Here is a 20,062-nt window from a genome sequence, read left to right as displayed (position 1 = left end):
TCTGGGAGTGACAGGCTACTTTTCTTAGAGAGCTCTCAGCTCTTACATGTTGATGCTAGCTGGCTCCTAATGTGTCCTGTGGGCCCTGCTAGGAATGCAGCTCTTTCTGTACTAGAACTTAAAAATATACGACAAGGTGTGAAAACAAGTACCGAATAACCAACGTGGGGAGCATCTGCAGATGGTGACTCAAAGAAATGGATTATCAACACTGACTTTGAGAAGGGCGGCGGCTGCCATTTGGCTCATACCTGATCGCCTGGGAGAACGAGGGTGTGCTGGTTACAACAGAGCTCCTGCTTGGGTGGCCCATCAGCTCTGCACCTTTAAAATGGAAACAAGGAAGGAATCTTCATAGATTCCAGGCTGGTCAGGTGAGAGATAACCTGGCTGGTGAGTGTGGGGGTAGGTCACTAGATTTTCCACCAGCGGCCTCTTTCCTTCTGCCAATGTGCAAAGGCACAGCCACCTAGGACCTTGATTTTGTGTTAGAATGGATGCTTTCTTCCCTTATTCCATCACTGAGGCCCGGAAGGCTTCAGGGGAGATGGGCCTGGCTCTGAGGGAGGAGGCCCATCCTGCAGGGCTGAGAAGACTTCATTTTGCAGTTTTGTGATAAATCAGATGGCATACTTTTCTCCCTCGAGAGCTTCTGTTTTATCGTTTAGAGTTTAAAAGTGATGCCTGTGTTTTTCTCAAACTCAATGATATTTCTTTAAAATACAGTAATACCTGCATATTATATAAATCTGGAAAATACAGAGGAAAATAGGAAAACGAAGATCACATACCACTATTCATATTTTGGTTCTTCCTAGGTGTTTTAGTATTTATTTTCCTTTGGGGCCTGAAGATACTTGTATGTAAGATTTTTGCAAAATCATGATCTAACTATACATGCAGATTTATATCGGCTTCTCTAGATCTCTAAGTCATCTTCGTGGTATGATTTTAATGGCTGTATACCTTTTTACTGTTGTTGGCTTTATCTATAGTTGTATATTTCCATTTTTTTGCCACTTTTTTGTGATTGTAATTGTGTTGTATAGCCATTTTTGTTTGTAAATTACGACCCATATCTCAGATTATTTCATAATACAGTGGTTACCTCTTATCTGTGGTTTCACTTTCCGTAGTTTCATTTATTCACGGTCAACCAGGCATCAAAAATAGGTGAGTACAGTACAATGAGCGATTTTGAGAGAGAGACCTCATTCACATAACTTTTAGTACAGTATATTGTTATGATTCCATTCGTTAATGTAAATCTCTTACTATGCCTAATTTATAAATGACACGTCATCGTAGGTATGTATGCATAGGACGTAACATAGTCTAGTAGATGTAGGGCTCGGTACTGTCTGTGGTTTCAGGGATCCACTGGGAGTCTTGGAACATAGCCCCTGCAGATAAAGAGGGCCTGCTGTATCCAGTTTTGGTCCTGGAATGATTGGGTCACTTTATGAAGCCGGTTGGTGCATATGTAGACTGTGTGTAGCAGAGATGTGTCCATATAGGCTAGTGCTAACATGGAAATAACTATCAAATGAGAGAGACTTCCTGTTTATATTCGGATTCTGAAAATGCATGCTGTTCATATCAACCTGTTGTGTTGGTCAGAGATGTTTCCATGTACAAAGACTATGGCAGATTTGGACCTGTAGGTGTGGGCTCTTTGATAACAGTAGCTGTTTATCAAAGTAAGATTTTACAGGGATATAGGTTATCTAGAGAATCAATGGAGAATTACTCACACATCTACTACTAATCCTTCCCTATTGTGAGGAAAGGGAAGATTTTCATTTTAGCCTGGATGTGGGTCGTATGATTTTCCTTCTGATTATGTATTTTTTTAAAAAACATAGTGTTTTTATGTCTACCAACATTTATGGCTCCTGATTCCTGAGTCCAAGAAGAGTTACTGGGATGCCAGCCCCCAGGGGAGTGTCCTGTCCCCTCTGCCCAGCTTCCTTGGTCCAGTTATCCACCTTGGGTGTGGCCTTTCAGACCCCTGCCCGCTGGGTCCAGGCCTCCTTTTCTGTGCGTACTTGGCAGCTCTCCGTGCTTCTCTAAAGGGGTGGGTTTTCTCCTCTGTTCCCCTCAGCCCCATTGGCCTCCCCAGCTGTGGTGGGAGTTGGGTGTGGGCCCCTCATCTGGCCTCATAGCTGTTACCCTTCTTTTGGGCCAGCACCCCCCTACGTGAGTGAACTCGGGGCACCCACATGACGGTGGAGATTGCTGGGTGCTGGGCCCCTCTAGGCCTGTCGAGACTGACCACTCTCTCGGGCAGGCTTGACAGAAGGCCTGTTCACTGCATGGTTTTGGAAGTCAGTAAGCCAAGGACCGCACAAATGTTTCCATCATTTTCTAGAAAAGAAGAAGCCGACGTGGGGCAGGCCTTCGCGGGACTGGCGGGAGCGGAGGAACGCTATCCGGCTCACCAGCGAGCACACGGTGGAGACCCTGGTGGTGGCCGACGCCGACATGGTGCAGTACCACGGGGCCGAGGCCGCCCAGAGGTTCATCCTGACCGTCATGAACATGGTGAGTCCGGAGCCGGGGTCCTGATGTGGGGGGCTCTGTTTTCTCCTTGATGAGAGATCTGGAAGCAGGTGCTGTGTCCTCATCTCCTCAAGTGAGGAAGACGCTGGGTTGGGGATACGGGAACATAGCCTGGTAATTCTGGGCATTGAGGAGGGCAAGTAACTGGGGGACATCCCGATGGAAGAGCACCTGCCCTCGGCTCCACACTGGCGTAGTGTTGAAGTGCCCAGATCTGCTCAGTGATGGGGCCACTTGTTACCAGAAGGCTTCCTTCCCAAAAGTATAAGACCCACTCCAAGCGGCAAAGTCCTGTGAATCCCAGACCCTGCTCCAAGGAGTCCATAGTCTAGCGGGGGGAACAAATTCCAACCTCTATGGGAAAAAGAGCTTACTGTGTTGACTTAGAGAGGCTGCCTAGTTGAGAGAACCAAGGAAGGAGTCAGGATGCCCACGTCTGTCTATGTCCGATTTGTCAAATGGGGATGGATGGGTGGTGAGGCTGACTCCTCAAATGTTAGACACTGAAGGACCTTCAAGGGCATCCTAGCTTTACCCACCCATTCATTTTCCCAGGTGTTTTTAAGGACCAAGTCATTTGACATGGCGGGAACGGGGAGCCATAAGGGTGTGGAAGTTGTGGACAGGGCCTGGTGAGGGAGGGCGGGCCAGGCATCTTGAGGAGCAGGGGCTCCACCCTGAGAAGTGGGACCACTGAAGGGGAGGGGAGCAGTGTGCCGAGGTTGATGTTAGGAAGAACAGCCCAGCAGCTGCATGCAGGATGGATTGGAATGGGAAGCAGTGTTGTGGAGCATTGGGGCTGGCGTGAGTGTGGGAGAGGTTGGAGTGGGAATGGAGGAGGGCCTGGGGTAAAAGGAAGGAGCTGCAGGAATTGGTGACTGGCAGGATGTGGGGGTTGGAGAGTCAGGAAGAGGAGGCAAGAGAAATCCAGGCTACTACACCCAGGCTTCAAGCTGGGCCTCTGGGTGGGTGGTGGAGCCATTGTCTGAGAAAAGGAGGAGCAATGAATATGGGGCCACAGCAAAGAGTTTCCATTCTGGACAAGCTGAATTCAAGGTGGGAAATCAGGACAGATGTCTTGGTGGGAAAGAGGGACCTGGGCTTTTCAGCCTACAGCAGCAGCTGAAGTAGCGGAGTGAGTAGCACTGCCTGGCTGAAATGTGTCAGTGAGTAGAGAAGCTGTCCAAAGACAGCCCATGGAGCACCAGCCCTGGGGGGGATGGGGCAACGACCTGGGAGGAGGTTGTCCTGAAGAAGGGGTGACAGGTGCAGGAGGAGCCTGGTTAACAATGCCAGATGGAATGGCATTAGGGAGTGTTGTCTGTAGATGCTTGATGAGGACAAACTGAAAAGTGAATGGGAAATGAGAAGCAGAAACAGCTACAACTCAGCTGTAGAAACAGCCAAGTTGCTGATCTTGGCTAAAGGAGAGGAGAGAGAAGCCTAGTCAGGTGGAATCTGGGTCAAGGGGAACTTTGTAGAGGGAAAGGGGTGCGAAGGTTCCGAGTGTGAGGTTTAGCCTCAGGCCTGGGCCAGACTCCTGCCCAGCCATAACAGAAGAACCTCTTTCAGTCTGCTGCTTATCAGCAGGTCAGGAATTTAGCTCTGGCCACAGTGAGTGCACAGTGCCTGGCCACAAATGGTCAGGCCGCTTATGGAAGGGAGTGACGCGAGAGGACAGGGCAAGGTTAAACGAAATGGGTGCAGTGGGGAATGACCCAGGGCCTGAGTTTTCAGTGGGGACACAGCAGCCGTGGGTTGTGGGGTAGGGAGATGACATGCCTATTCCCGGAATCTGCAGGGCCTTTGGGCCAGCTGCAGCCAAGGTCTTGAGGTCTAGCGAAGGTGCAGAGCCTGGGCTGGCCCAGGCCACAGGCGCCTTTGTTTGCTTGGTGTGATGAGCGCTGGAGCTCAGGGGTAAGTGCTGGGGAGGAAGTTGGCTCTGACATGAAGCCCAAGGGAGGGGCTCAGAGTGCGGGTAGGATAGCAGAGGGTGGTGGTCCTCATGGCTGGACAGGGTCTGCAGGTGACTCTTTGCCCATGTGTGGATGTTATGTTGCTGGGACCTCCGGTGTTTTAGAGGCGGATTGGGCGGGGCTGTGGCTGGGCAAGGACACAAAGCTGGATGAACCCCCAATGCACCGTTCCCACTGGGATCTCGGCTCTGGTAGTTGTGTAGCTGGGGCTGTGGTGGCTGGGAGGCCTGGTGGCATGTGGTGGCCTGGACAAAGGAGACCAGGACTGATTCTCCCCTTGTGGGGATGGGATCCCACAGCTTGTTTCCCAGAGGCTGAAGGAGGCCCGAGAGCAGGGAGGCTCAGGGACATTGCCAGGGTCACACAGGAAGTCACTGGCAGAGCTATGACCACCATGTCAAGCCTTTCTTTCCCCTAACCAGCCACAGGGAAATCAATGTTGAGGACCCCAATCCTGGGCCCACTGGGTGTGGGGAACCCCACGGCAATCCTGCTTGTTAGGAGGACAAATCTCTGGTACTTTGTCTTCCATTTCGTTGAAGACTTTCCAGGACTGGCTTTCGGGACATGCCTCTCTCTGCAGGAAACTCCCTCTATCTCCGCCATGCCCCTCACCCCTATTGTGCTCTGAAGGGAGGCTGCTTCGGCAGCACTCAGAGTAGAGGCCTCATGTCGAGCCGCTGGACCCACATGTTTCCTCATATGCCAGGCTCTTCTGCAAGGTACACTTGCCAAGGAGGCCCCTGGGACCTGGGCCAGGGATCTGCTTTCCGACGTGGCCTCAGTGGGCATGTGAGGGTGCCATGCTGCTCCCACCCCTCCTTCAAAGTCATCAACTCTGGAAGTTCCGTTAACTTAAACATTATTTTTTTGCAAGTTTCTTTTTCTGGGTTTTTTTTTTTTTTTTGTGGTAGAATGCATATGTAATACGAAATTCACCGTCTGAACCATTTTTATGTGGACCAGCTCAGTGGCCTAAAGCACATTCACCTTGTTAATGCAACCACCACCACCATCCACCTCCAGAACTTTTTCACTGTCCACAAAATGGAAACTTCCTGCCCATTAAACACTATCTTCCCCCTTTCCCTCTCCCCCAGCCCCTGCCAACCTCCATTCTACTTTCTATCTGTGTGAATCTGATGACTCTAGATACCTCATATAAGTGGAATCATGCAGTATTTATCCTTTTGTGGACAAATGGCTTATTTCAGTCACCATAATGTCCACAGAGTTCATTCATGTTGTGACATGTGTCAGGATGGCTTTCCTTTTTAAGGATGAGTAGTATCCCATTGCACGTACGTGCATCACCTTTTTCTTTTCCATTCGTCTGTCAGCATATGCCTGGGTTGTTTCTACCTTTTGCTACTGTGAATAATGTTGCTATGAACGTGGGTGTGCAAATCTCTGTTCAAGTCCCTGCTTTCAATTCTTTTGGGCATACACCTGGAAATGGAATTGCTTAACTTTTGATGGTGCTCAGCTCTCAGAAATAGTTCAGTGTTAACTTTTGATGATGCTCATTTCTGAGAAATAGTTCCGTGTTCCTCGTGTGCACAAACCCACGTCTCCCCGGTGGCCGGTTAATGACGGGCTGCATTGCTGCAGTCTGCCCGGAGCACGCCTGAGAGGAGGGCTGGAGGGGCTTGGCTCTGCACCAGATGTTTTCATCTGCAGATTATTTTATCTCTCTCTCTTTTTTTAATTATCCAGGGCACAAGTGCAAGGAATAAACATTCATTACAACAGCTAAGGTAGTAATAAGGCAGAGCTTCGACTTTGATATTTGCTTTCATAATTTATCATCCAGGCAGGGGTGGCTGTTTGATCCCAGGCAGGGAGTGGGAAGGGAATGGGGTTGGTACATGGAGACAGACACTCCCACCCTGCACCCCTCATGGGCCGTAAAGACTGAAGGGCTCTGTTTTTTGCCTTTGATTAAACACCCTGCACCCCTCTTCAGCTGCTTGTACTAAGACACTGGTGGCTCAAGAGCCCGGGGCTGAGGGCAGACCCGGGGCTAACACGTGAAGTTTGGATTGAGATGTTTCCTGAGGAGGCCTGCCTAATAAGGGTGATCCCACTGTGAGAAGGGCTGGGTGCGATGACTCTGAGCCCTTCTGTCGTCTATACTTGGGGTTTCCGGGGCCTTTTGATCCAAGCCAGAAGGCGAATGGAAGCAGAGTCGTCAGCCCCCTTGCACAGGGGGGCTCACACCGCAGCAGCCCTTTCTTGCCGCTCTAGCCCTGGACCACCATTAAGTAAATTGAAAAACAAGTTCCGTTCAGAGATGACACCTTGTTTAAACAAGACCACCTCCACCAGCACCCCCCTTTCTCAATCCCTCAAATCCTAGTTTAGGAAATCCAAAGAGTTCTTTCCTGCCTGCGGCTGTTTTAGAAAAGGGCTTTCCGTTAGCAAGTGAGATAACCTTTAAGCCGGGAGGACGGGAAAGGATTGTGGCTGGGCTGTCATTAGACAAGCCCCCTGGAACATAGAGCAGAACGTGATGCCAGCGAGCCCATCTGTTTCCCTCCAGAGCATGTTTTCTGTGGGGCTGTGGGATGGGAGTGGCTCTGTCTCCTTAAGCCCTCCAGATTTGGAAGGAAATCTGCTAGAGTTGGTTGCCACCTTCATTCCAACACATTTCTCTCCGAGTTGTGGGAAATAGCATGATTCGTGCTGATGGCCAGGCACCCACTCCCTCCCACCCTCCCACCAGGCACCCACTCCCTCCCACCCTCCCACCAGGCACCCACTCCCTCCCACCAGGCACCCACCCCCTCCCACCCTCCCACCAGGCACCCACACCCTCCCACCCTCCCACCAGGCACCCACTCCCTCCCACTCTCCCACCAGGCACCCACTCCCTCCCACCAGGCACCCACACCCTCCCACCCTCCCACCAGGCACCCACTCCCTTCCACCCTCCCACCAGGCACCCACTCCCTCCCACCCTCCCACCAGGTACCCACACCCTCCCACCTTCCCACCAGGCACCCACTCCCTCCCACCCTCCCACCAGGCACCCACTCCCTCCCACCCTCCCACCAGGCACCCACTCCCTCCCTCCTACCCTCCCACCAGGCACCCACTCCCTCCCTCCTACCCTCCCACCAGGCACCCACTCCCTCCCTCCTACCCTCCCACCAGGCACCCACTCCCTCCCTCCCACCCTCCCACCAGGCACCCACTCCCTCCCACCAGGCACCTACTCCCTCCCACCCTCCCACTTAGGTCTCTGTGGTCAGAGGCCTGGCCCGCCCATGTGTGCTGACCTGCCTGCCAAGGCATAACCCAGACAGTACCCTGTCCCCAGGGCAGACTGGGGCCTAACAGTGCCTCAGAGAGCTGATAGCATGGCCAAAGCTGGGAGAATTTGGCATCAAGCGTTTGCTCCGGGTTTCATAGCATCTCATGGTTTTGATGTATTAGATTAGCGTCAGCCACTGGCCCCAAGGGAAGATGTGACTGCTTATGATGCACCAGCTGTCCCAGATGGCAAAGTGCTTCCACCTTACTGCCTTCTCATACCTGGTGGATTTCGTCATTCCCATTTTACAGAGAAGGAAATGGAGGCTTGGGGACGTGACACAGCCAGGGTGCAGAGCCTGTGAGTACACAGTAGGGCAAGGACTCCAGTCCGGGACTGAGGGACCCCATGTCACCTTGTTGAAGGTGACAGGCATGTCTGGAACCCATCCTTTCTTTCTGTCTCCACCCTGGACTGACTGCCATTATTTCTGGCCTTGACAGCTGCTGGAGCTTCTTTGCCAGGCTTCTCACTTCCATTTTCTTCCCCCTTGAATCCTTGCTACAGAATAACCAGCAAGATCCTCTTCCTGCAGAATTGGAACTTTGTCACTAGGCAGCATTGGGCTCCTCTGTGGCTTCCCCTTGCATTGGATGGGGAAGGCCCCCCACCCCCTGCCTTTCATGTGGCCCTCCAGCCTGTGTGGCCAGGACCCATCTGCTTTTCCATTCTTTTTGCCATCAACACTGACTTTCACTAGGCAGCCCGAACTTGACTTACTGTCTTTGTCAGGAATGCTCTGCTTACGTGCCTTGTGGAACGAGTTCCTCTGCCTTTTAGGACTCTGTGCAAATGTCCCCTCAGAGGGTCCCTCTTTGCTGATCCCTCTGATGAGGCCCACCCTGTTTTCCTCAACATAAAAGCCTGCTCTTTCCTGGGTAGTCCTCATCTGAATTTACAATTCCATATTTATTTGCTTTCAAAAAACCATTCTGCTGAGGTTTTTAATGCCACTGAAGTTAAGCTGGTGTAAAGTCAGATTAGAGTGTTATAACTTTAATCCTAATTAAATATAATCCCCACAGTAACCCCAAAGAAAATAACTAGAGAATACATACAAAAGCAAATGAAAAGGGAATTAAAAGTTTCACTACCAAAAAAAAATATATGTATACATATAAAAGAAAATCAAATCAGCTAAACACAAAAGAAGTCAGTAATGCAGGAAATGAGGAACCAAAGCTATTACAAGCCATATAGGAAACAAATAACAAAATGGAAAAGTAAGTCCCTCCTTATCAGTAATTACTTGAAGTGTAAATTAATTAAACTTCAATCAAAGACAGAAATTGATGGCAGAATGAATTTGTTTTTTAAATCATAGATCCAACTATATGCGGTCTATAAGAGACTTACTGTAGATCAGACACAGAGGTTGAAAGTGAAAGGATAGAAAAAGAAATTCCATGCTAATTGTAACCAAAAGAGAGCAGGAGTAGCTATACTAACATCACACAACAGACACTTTAAATCAAAAAGCTTCCAAGAGGCAAAGGGGATGTTATATATTAATAAAAGTTCCAATATATAAGAAGATATAACAGTTATAAATATTTACACATCTGATAACAGATCATCAAAATATATGAAATAAAATTGATAGAACTGAGAGAAATACACAGTTGTACAATAATAGTTGGAGATTTCAATCCCCACTCTCATTAGTAGATAGAACAACCAGACAGAAGAAAAGGAAATAGAAGACTTAACACAATAAGTCAACTGGATCTAGCAGACATACACAGAACACTCTACCCAACAACAATGGAAGACTTTTTTTTCCTCAAGGGAACATGGGACATTCTGCAGGATAGACCATGTGTTAGGTCACAAATTAAGTCTCAACAGATTGAAAAGGTTGATATTATACAAAGTACCATCACTGACAACAATGGGGTGAAGTTAGAAATCAGTAACAGAAGGAAAACTGGAAAATTCACAAATTTGTAGAAATTAAACCACATACTATTAAATAACCAAAGAGTCAAAGAAGAAATCACAAGTGACATTGGAAAATACTTAGAGATAAATGAAAACAAAAACACATGTCAAAACTTATGGGACAAGGACAAAGCACTGCTTAGGGGGAAATGTATAGCATGTATAGCGGTAAACACTTAAAAAGAAAAATCTCAAACAATCTGACTTTACAACTTAAGGAACTAGAAGAAGAACAAGCTATTTTATTCCTTCTGCTAGCTTTGAATTTAGCTTTGGATTGCTATGGATTAAAGCAGAGAGAAAAGGACAGAAAAACAATAGAGCCAATGAAACCAAGAGTTAGTTCTTTGGAAAGATTAAGAAAATTGACAAACCTTAGCTAGATCGACTGATAAAAAAGCCTCAAATTACTAATAACACAAATGAAAACAGGGACATTACGACCCATTCTACAGAAATAAAAAGGATTATAAGAGAGTACTATGGACCATTGCATGTTAACAAATGGATAACCTAGATGAAGTGGACAAATTCCTAGACACACAAAATCTACCAACACTTAATCACAAAGAAATAGAAAATTTGAAGAGTCATAATTAGTAAGGTAACTGAATCAGTAATCAAAAACCTCCTAATAAAGAATAGCCCTGGACATTATGACTTCATTGGTAAACTATACCAAACATTTAAAGGAGAGCTAACACTAGTCCTCCTCAAATTCTTCCAAAAAAGCTGAAGAGGAGAGAACACTTCCTAACTCATTCTGTGAGACTGGCATTCCCTGATAACAAAGCCAAAGAAAAGAAACAAAACTACAGTCCCTTATAAATAAGAAAACAATAGTTCAAATATTCATTGACGTAAAAGTCCTCAATAAAATACTAGGAAACCAAATTCAATAGCATATTAAAATGATTATACATCATGATCAAGTGGGCTTTATTCCTGGAATGCAAGGATGGCTCAACATAGGCAAATCAATAAAAAAAGTGATATACTTGATTAACAAAATGAAAAGAGAAAATGATCATCCCAATTTATACAGGAAAAGAATTTGATAAAATTGAGCAGCCTTTCATGATAAAAGCACTCAATAGACTAGGAATAGAAGGAAACTACCTCAACATTATAAAGGTCATATATGAAAAACTCACAGCTAATAATACACTCCGTGGTGAAAGACTGAAAGCTTTTTCTTTAAAATCTGGAACAAGGCAAGAGTGCCTGCTTTTGCTACTTCTGTTCAACATAACACTGGAAGTTCTAGCTAGAGCAGTTAGGCAAGAAAAAGAAATTGAAGGCCTCCAAATAAGAAAAGAAGTAGTAAAATGATCTCTGTTCACAGATGACATATTTATTACATGTAGAAAACCCTAAATCTTACACACACAGAGAGAGAGACAGAGAGAATGCTAATAAATTCTTTGCAAAGTAGCCACGTACTAAACCAACCACAAAAATCAGTTGCATTTCTATATGCTAACAATAATCTGAAAAGAAAATTAAGAAAACAGTTCTGTCTTCAGCAGCATCAAAAAGAATAAAATACTTAGGAATTAACCAAATAAGGGATAGAGTTTTACATGGAAAGCTGTAAAACATCAATGAAGGAAATTAAAGAAGACATAAATGGAAAGCCATCATGTTCATGGAGTGGAAGACTTATTGTTAAGATATCAATGTTATCCAAAGCAGTTTACAGATTCAATGCAATTTCTATCAAAATCCCAATGACTTTTTTGCAGAGATAGAGAAATCCATTCTAAAATTAATATGAAATCTCAAAGGACATTGAATAACCAAAACCATCTTGAACAAAAGAACACAGTAAGACTCACACTTCCTCATTTCAAAATTTACTCAAAAGCTGTAATAATCAAAACACTTTACTGACATAAAGACAAACCCAAAGATCAGTAAAATGAAGTAGAGCTCAGCAATTAACACATATATATGGTCAAATAATTTTTGGTAAGGATGCCGAGACCTTCAATAGAGAAGTGACAGTCTTTTCAAGAACTGGTGCTGGGAAAGCTGGGTATCTGTATGCAAAAGAACAAAGTTGGATCCTTACCTAACATACAAAAATTAACTCAAAATGGATCAAAGTCCTAAACAGAAGAGGTAAAACTCTTAGAAGAAAAAACGGAAAAGTTTTGTGAGATTTGATTTGGCAGTGATTTCTTGGATACAACACCAAAAGCACAGGCAGCAAAAGGAAAAATAGACAAATTGGAATTCATCAAAATTAAAAACTCTTGTGCCTCAAAGGATACTATCAACAAAGTAAAATGGCAACCCACGGAATAGGAGGAAATACTTGCAAATCAAATATTTTATAATATCCAGAATATATAGAAAGCTTCTAAAACCCAGGAAGGAAAAAAAAAAACAATTCAATTTAAAAAATGGGAAAGGACTTAGGTAGACATTTTTACGAAGAAGATGTACAAATAGCCAATAAGTACATGGAAAGATACTTGGCATCAATCATCAGGGAAATGGAAATTAAAACTATAATAAAGTACCACTTCACATCCATTCCCATGGCTATTATAAAACAAAAAAATAAAACACCAAAACAAAACAGAAGTGTTGACAGTGATGCGGAAAAATGGGAAATTTTGTACATTATTAGTGGGAATATATAGAAAATGGTATGATTCCTCAATGAAACAGAATTACCATATGATCTAGCAATTTCACTTTTGAGTAAACACCCAAAAATGTTTATCCCAAAGCAGGGACAAGAACAGATATTTATACACCAATGTTCATAGCAGGATTATTCACCATAACTAAATGGTGGAAGCAACCCAAAGTGTCCACAGATGGATGCGTAGGTAAATAAATATAGCGTATAGGTATAATGGAATATTATTCAGCCTTAAAAAGGAAAACAATTCTGACACATGCTGTAACATAGATGAGCTGTGAAGACATTATGCTACGTGAAATGAGCCAGTCACCAAAGAACAAATACTGTGATTCCACTTACGTAGGGTAGTGAATTCACAGAGACGGAAAGTCGAATAGCGCTGGCCAGATGGCTGAGAGGGAGGAGGGAATGAAGAGTTGTCTAATGGGTACAGAGTTTCAGCTTTACAAGATGAAGAAAGTTTTGGGGATAGGTAGTAGTGTTAGTGTATAACAGTGTGAATATATTTAATGTCACTTAATTGTAAGCTTAAAAATGTTTAAAATGGTAAAATTTTATGTTATGCATATTTTACCACAATTTTTAAAAACATCCTACATATCACCTGCCTTTGCAGTATCCATAAGCTCATCAAGGTAGGCCTATGTCTACACCATCAACATTTTGTCAGTGCCTGGTACGCATGCAGGAGATGATCCAGAAATATTTGTGTAGTCAGTGAATGCATAAATGAATGACTGATGCCATATACCAGCATCCTTTGCGAAGGATTCAGTGCTGAAGTCACAGAAACAAACACTGGCTTTACTTTTTTAATTCCTAGGCAAATTTGCTTCTGGAGAGCCTTTTGTATTCTAAGCACATCCCACGGATATGGTGTATTAAACTCTGTTTGAAAGTGTTTATGCATAAATATAATAATACACTTATACTTCCTACACAGCCCCTGAGGTAGGCTGCTGAACTATGGGCCATCTCCTCTAGGTCTTGTCTTTTACCGAGGGTGGTACAAGATGGAGAAGATAAAACAAGCATGGTTAAAAAGAAAAACTGCACCAAGAAAGAATGCCTGGCGGCTACAAATGGCTTCTCATCCACACCCTATTGAAGAAATGGCTCCAGAGTCACAGAAGAAATGGCTCCAGAGCCACAGAAGAAATGGCTCCAGAGTCACAGAAGAAATGGCTCCAGAGTCACAGAAGAAATGGCTGCAGTCAGAGCAGATCCACCTTGGCCGTTTTTAAGAGCTTATGAAGCCTGGAAGAGGTCCCAGAGAAAACTGGCGTCATGCAAAGTGGTCTCATTTTTGAACAAGGAAGAAAGGAGTCTTGTAAACCCTAGAGCAATGCATTTGGCCCTTCTTGTATTGGTTGGGGATTTTGATTACAAGCAACAGGGGCTGGATCTGGGCTGGCTGAAGTAGAAAAGGAATCCCAGTTTTGGAGGTATAGAGGGAGGCATCCAGAATCAAAATGAAGACCGAGTCTCCAAGCTCAGAGTTTGGGGAAAGTTTGGAGGGAACTTGGGAGGCCAGGAAGCAGGAGAGATGAAGGCTAAGGTCAGGTGAGGAGTGAGGGCTGGTCATGCAGGCTTGACCTCTCAGGCTGGATTCCTGCTGCCGCTTCTCTGTCCCAAGAACATCTCCTGACTGTCTACTGTCCCTCCTCCAGGAATCAGAGCCCCGAAGGGAATCCAGGGAACAGGACTGCTCTGGGGCTGCGAGGGCGGGCAGAGTGAGTCTCTATCCACTGAGGTTTCAATGGTGGGAAGAAGGTCCTTGCCATTCTCTAGAGCTCACCTCCTGGGAGCAGTTTTCCTCAATGAATACAGCAATAGATGCTGTTTGGCCCCTAAAAAAGTAAAAATTAAAGATCAGTCAATCAATCAAAATCCCAGCAATGTGTCTAGTTACCACAGAGGCTAGAGTATAAAAGAAGCTTATTCATATGACATATGACCCAACACCTCTACTCCTGGGTACATAAAGAAATGAACTGATAGTTTCTTTTGCTGTACAGAAGCTCTTTAGTTTAATAGATCTCACTTGTCAATTTTTGTTTTTGTTACAATTGCTTTTAGGACTTAGTCATGAATCCTTTACCAAGGCTGCTGTCCAGAAAGGTATTTCCGATGTTTTCTTTTAAGGTTTTTATAGTTTGAGGACTCGCATTTAATCTTTAATCCATCTTGAGTTCATTTTTGTATATGGTGAAAAATAGGGGTCCAGTTTCATTCTTCTGCATATAGCTAGCTATCCCAGCACCATTTATTGAGTGGGGAGTCTTTTCCCTATTGCTTATTTTTGTTAACTTTGTCAAAGATTAGATGGTTGTAGGTATGATGTGGCATTATTTCTGGGTTCCTGTTTCTGTTCCATTGGTCTGTGTGTCTTGTTTTTGTATAAGTGCTATGTTTTTTGGTTACTGTAACCTTCTAGTATAGTTTGAAGTCAGGTAATGTGATACTTCTGGCTTTATTATTTTTGCTTAGGATTGCTTTGGCTGTTCTGCCCCTTTTTTGGTTCTATATGAAGTTTAGAATAGTTTTTTCTAATTCTGTGAAAATGATGTTGGTAGTTTAATAAGAATACAAGCTACAGGATGGGAGAAAATATTTGCAAACTATCTGACAAAGGTCTAACATCCAGAATCTATAAGGAATTTAAACAGTGCAAAAGCAACCCCATTAAAAAGTGTGCAAAAAACATGAACTGACACTTCTCAAAAGAAGACATACACACGGCCAACAAACATGTGAAAAGATGCTCCACATCAGCAATCATCAGAGCAACGCAAATCAATACCACAAGATACCATCTCACACCAGTGAGAATGGTCATTATTAAAAAGTCAGAAAAATAACAGATGCTGGCAAGGTGCAGAGAAAAATGCTCATACGCTGTTGGTGGGAAGGTAAATTAGTTCAGTCACTGTGCAGGGCAGTTTGGAGATTTCTCAGAGAACTCAAGACAGAACTACCCTTTGACCCAGCAATCCCATTACTGAGTATACACCCAAAGGCGTATAGATCATTCTGCCATAAAAACACATGCATGCATATGTTCATTACAGCACCGTTCACAATAGCAAAGACATGGAATCAACCTAGATGCCCATCAGTGGTAAACTAGATAAAAGAAAATGTGGTACATATACACCATAGAATACTACACAGCTGTAAAAAAGAACAACTCACGTCCTTTGCAGCAACATGGATACAGCTAAAGGCCATTATCCTAAGTGAATTAATGCGGGATCAGAAAACCAAATGCTGCATATTCTCACTCATAAGTGGGAGCTAAACACTGGGTACATGTGGATATAAAGATGGCAACAATAAAATAGTTACAAAAATGGATAAGTTACAGTATTTGATAGCACAACAGGGTGACTATAGTCAGTAATTGTATATTTTAAAATAACTAAAAGTGTAAATGTATTGTCTGTAAGACAAAGGATAAATGCTTAAGGTGATAGGTACTCTGTTTACCCTGATGTGATAATTATGCATTGTATGCCTGTATCAAAATATTTCATGTACCCCATAAATGTATACACCTACTATGAACCCACAAAGATTAGAAATAAAATTTTTTAAAAGGTGGCAGCAGACACTGCGGACTACTAGAGAAGGGAGACAGGGAGGGGGGCAAGGGCTGAGGAACTACCTCTGGGTACTATGCTCAGTACCTGGGTGATGGGGTGATTCGTATCCCAAACTTCAGCATCACGCAATATACTCACGTAACCAACCTGCACACATACCCCTGAATCTAAAGTAAATGTTGACATTATAAATATATATTCATTTAGACTTACCACGAAAATAAAAAAAGAAATGAATTAAAAGCAGAGCCTGGAAGAGGTATCTGTACACCCGTGTTCACAGCAGCATTACTCACAATGGCCGAACGATGGCAAAAACAGCCAAGGTGTCCATTGGCAGATGGGCAGATAAACAAAACGTGGGGTGTCCATACAATGGAATATTATCCAGCCTTAAAAAGGAAGGAAATTCCCACACACGCCACAGCATGGATGAACTTTGAGGACAGTATGCCAAGTGACACAAAAACACAAGTGCTAAATGACTCTGCTTACATGAGGTAACTGCAGTGTCCAAGTCATAGAAACAAAGTAGAATGGGGGTTGGGTGGGGGGCAGTGGGAGTTAGTGTTTCATGAGTATAGAGCTTCGGTATTGGAGGATGAAAAGAGTCCTGGAGGTTAATTGTACAATAACGTGAACGTAATTAACACTACAGGTAAGTACACGGTTGTGCACTAGTGGGTGAGATGGTAAATTTTATGTTCTGTTTGTTTCACCAGAAATACAAAAACAATTGACTGATTCTACTCAGATTGATTTACTGGGTACTTAGTGTGTGCTAGGGACCCTTGCATCCTCTGCTGGGATAGAGTAGGGACCACCGGAGGTCTCATCCTCCGGAGCTCATGCAGTAGGAACGACAGACAGCATTCAACATGCAAATCAGTGAGAAGGAAAACCAGAGCGTGGTAAGTGCCCTGCAGAGAACCAGGGGACAGCAGTGACAGGTATCAGGGCCACCTCTCTGAGAGGAGTGAGGTGGCCTTAGAGGGGAAGGTGTTAAGCCAACATAAGCAACCAGCCAGTGGTGGTCAGGCTGGCATTGGAGAAGCACAGAAATAGCTGGTTGCTTGTGGGTGATGGGGAGGGTGATGGGGGCACAGTGAGAAGCGGGCAGGCCGACCTTGCAGGCGGGGAGGCCAGGGTGTGGAGAGCAGCCTCATTCCAGGCAGTGGGAAGCTGCTGCACGGGCTTAAGCAGAAGAGGGATGGGCTCCAGTTAGTGTTTTAAAATATGCTTCTGCCTGCCCTTACCTGGGGGAATGGAGTTCGGCTCCTGGCTCTGTGTCCCTGGCAAACCGCTCACCTGTGCAGGTACATGTAGAGGGCGAAGGCTCCATCGGGCCAGGCGCCCAGCAGCACTCTGGCCCTGCAGTTGTGGGTTTTCCAGATGTGCTGTGCTGGTTTTGTGTGTACATCATGTGATTCTCCTTTGGTTGGGGTGGCGGTGACACGGGAGCAGGAATATTTTAAAGAACAAATTGCAGACGGAAGCAGGTGGTGCTGATACCAGAAACCGTGGGTGTGGGCAGCCAAATTGGAAAATGGGGCAGTTTAACAGAGCTTTGGTTGTTCTTAGCTTCCTTAACGACCGTGGAGTGGAATGAAAAACCTGAGCTGTTCCAGGCAAGTTCTGTTTGGAGGGAAAATGACATGAATTTTACTCAGTTACCATGTGGAAGAGACAAGCCTCTCTCTGGTGACCAGCAAGACTAGCATAGTGCTAGAGCACTGGCTGGTTCCCACACTCCGGTGGGTGTGGAGCAGGGTGGGGAAGGAGCACTGTTCAACACAGATGACCTGCCCACACCCAGGGTCTCTGATTCAGTGGGGGCTGGGGTGGACTCCAGAATGTGCATTTCCAACAAGTGCCCAGGTCATGTTGGTGCTGCTGCTTTGGGGACCCCACTCAGACACTGTGCTACAGAGCATAGCTTTCTCCTGTTTGGGGGTCTTAATAGCAGTGTATGCAACCTGAGAGTGTCACCCACAGGTCCCTGTGTGGCTCTGGGGGGAGGCCTTGGGTCACACAGGTAGGTGGTGCCCTTGTGAAGCCCAGCCTGGCGTGGTGAGCAGCTCCACTCCTTGTGCCTCCAACCACGGCTCCTTCTCTGGTACCTGTCTGCCCCTCCCTTGCTGTGTCCCTACATTGCCTAGCCAGAGAAGCCGTAGTGTGCTGCAGGCGGCAGGTCCACCCTGCTAGGCCCCTAGGCTGCCAAGGAAATGTGACAAACGCAGCCAGGACTGAACACTTGCTGGGATGCCGCCAGAGCTGGACGCCGGAGACGGAATTTCCAGACGCTTGGCTGCGCTGTTCCCTCCCCAACCAGGTGTCTCCCTAAACATATAGCCGTTGCCTCCAAGACTTCTCCTGAGCATGAGTTTCCATGGGAAAAAAAAGAAGACGAGACTTTGTTACATGTCTTTGAGGCTTGTGCCTTGTGTTTTGTGGCTGTCGTCGGATTGTCACCTGGCTCGCCTGGCTTGGCACGGGACCTCAGTTGATTCTGAACGTGCGCCTTGCCCTGTGCTCTGAGCCTTGTCAGAGCCTGTGGTCGGCACCTGGCAGGTGACAAAGTGCTTGAGCTGTGTTCAGGCCTTGGTACCTGCTCTCTTGGACGTCAGTGCCCTAGTTACATGTCAAGGGGAAATTTCTTCTTACAAGGCTTGCTAGAGAACATTATTTAGAGCATGAAGCTTTATTTTTTTAATTCGTTAACTTTGTACTTTTAATTGTAGTAAAATACACTTAACATGAAATTTACCACCTTAGCCATTTTTAACTGTGTGGTTCGGTATTCTTAGGTTCGCATTGCTGTGCAATCAATCTCTACAGCTTTTTTATCTTGCAAAACGGAAACTCTGTACCCATTAAACACCTTCCCATTTTTGCCTCCCCCCAGCCCCTGGAACACGAAACTTTCCCATCCCCCTTCCATCTCTCACCTTTTTAGTGGCATTTGTTCCAAGGGAGGCGACTGAGCTTTGGGCTAATGGTGTATGGGGTGCATGTGGCTCTGAACTGTCATCAGCCAGCCAAGGAGAAAATGGGTGATTTTGACAAGGGAGCTTGTTCCTACAGTTTTGTTCTTCCTGAAACTTGCACTGTTCCTTGCAGTCTTTCCTTTTGTGGCATATCAGAATATGACTGAGGATTGCTTTCTCGTGTTACTTCTTTAAATCTGTAGTATTCCTTAATGTTTCTGGTTTTGACTGGGCTTGGCGTGACAGGCAGTGTTTAGATTGTGCTGTGCAATCTCAGTGAACACTGTGCAACTTGAATTTTCTCCCTCATAACTTCAAGTTTTCATTCTTCCTAATTTTCATGTTTTGAACTGAAATTTACCAGTTTAGATCCAATTCTGATGCTGAATATTTTAAGGAAAATTTGAATTACAGCCATTGGATGGTTCTCGAACTATCAAAACAGGAACAAGTTGGGTGCCTCCCCCCTCCTCCCCCAGGCTTGGGGATAGGACATGAATATGTGACTTCAGAACTGGCTTGTGGATGGTCCAGTATTAAGAAAACAACAGCTAGTTGTTCCTGAGGAAAGGAGATTTTGGAAATCGCAGAAGTGAGAACAGAACAACTGAATGTGTTCTATTTTTCCTTGTGTGAAAGAATATTACGTCACACAAAGATAGGTTTTTTTTAACTGTAATAATGGTTTTCAAAGAGTAAAATTCGAGCAGTGACACGGCTGATTCCTTTGTCACGGAGATGCTCAAACACTGCGTGCCTGGCTTCTAGCGCTTGTGGGCTGGGTGCAGCCGTGTTGAGCGGCTCCACTCGGCCTGAGTTGACCCTGGTGATGCTGTCTACCGTGCTTAACGCTTGCTGCTGATGCTGATGTATTGATAGCGTGAACACAGCACCTGCTGGAGAAAGTTTTAATGTTCCTGCTGGAAAATTCTCCCTCCTGGGTTATGTCTATAGGTAAAAACCAAGTAGAATATTTAAAAGATTCTCATTCTTGTTCCCTCCAACCTTCCATCTGC

At 45.3% G+C, this 20,062-nt stretch overlaps 1 protein-coding gene across 13 annotated transcripts in view, besides 2 other annotated features; it reads left to right on the top strand.

The window, feature by feature from the left end:
* Positions 1-20,062, top strand: part of ADAMTS17 (ADAM metallopeptidase with thrombospondin type 1 motif 17) — a 370,539-nt gene that overhangs the window by 58,203 nt on the left and 292,274 nt on the right. For all 13 annotated transcript variants that reach the window (XR_001751118.2, XR_001751120.2, XR_001751119.2 and 10 more), the window contains one exon: positions 2,372-2,544. Coding sequence is in view for 10 of the 13 variants with exons in the window: in NM_139057.4 (NP_620688.2) it covers positions 2,372-2,544 (173 nt within the window). In the remaining 3 variants the exon portion in view is untranslated. The remainder of the gene's footprint in view (positions 1-2,371; positions 2,545-20,062) is intronic.
* Positions 4,143-4,833: an enhancer, noted in NCBI's record as "H3K27ac-H3K4me1 hESC enhancer chr15:100819145-100819835 (GRCh37/hg19 assembly coordinates)". NCBI's record gives its function as "activates a minimal SCP1, AML or CMV promoter by ChIP-STARR-seq in naive H9 embryonic stem cells {active_cell/tissue: H9 hESC(naive)}" and the evidence as "EXISTENCE:reporter gene assay evidence [ECO:0000049][PMID:30033119]".
* Positions 18,174-18,675: an enhancer, noted in NCBI's record as "H3K4me1 hESC enhancer chr15:100805303-100805804 (GRCh37/hg19 assembly coordinates)". NCBI's record gives its function as "activates a minimal SCP1, AML or CMV promoter by ChIP-STARR-seq in naive H9 embryonic stem cells {active_cell/tissue: H9 hESC(naive)}" and the evidence as "EXISTENCE:reporter gene assay evidence [ECO:0000049][PMID:30033119]".

Source organism: Homo sapiens, chromosome 15, assembly GCF_000001405.40.
Source record: "Homo sapiens chromosome 15, GRCh38.p14 Primary Assembly".
Taxonomy (NCBI): Eukaryota; Metazoa; Chordata; class Mammalia; order Primates; family Hominidae; genus Homo; species Homo sapiens.
This window is presented reverse-complemented; position numbering and strand designations above follow the sequence as displayed.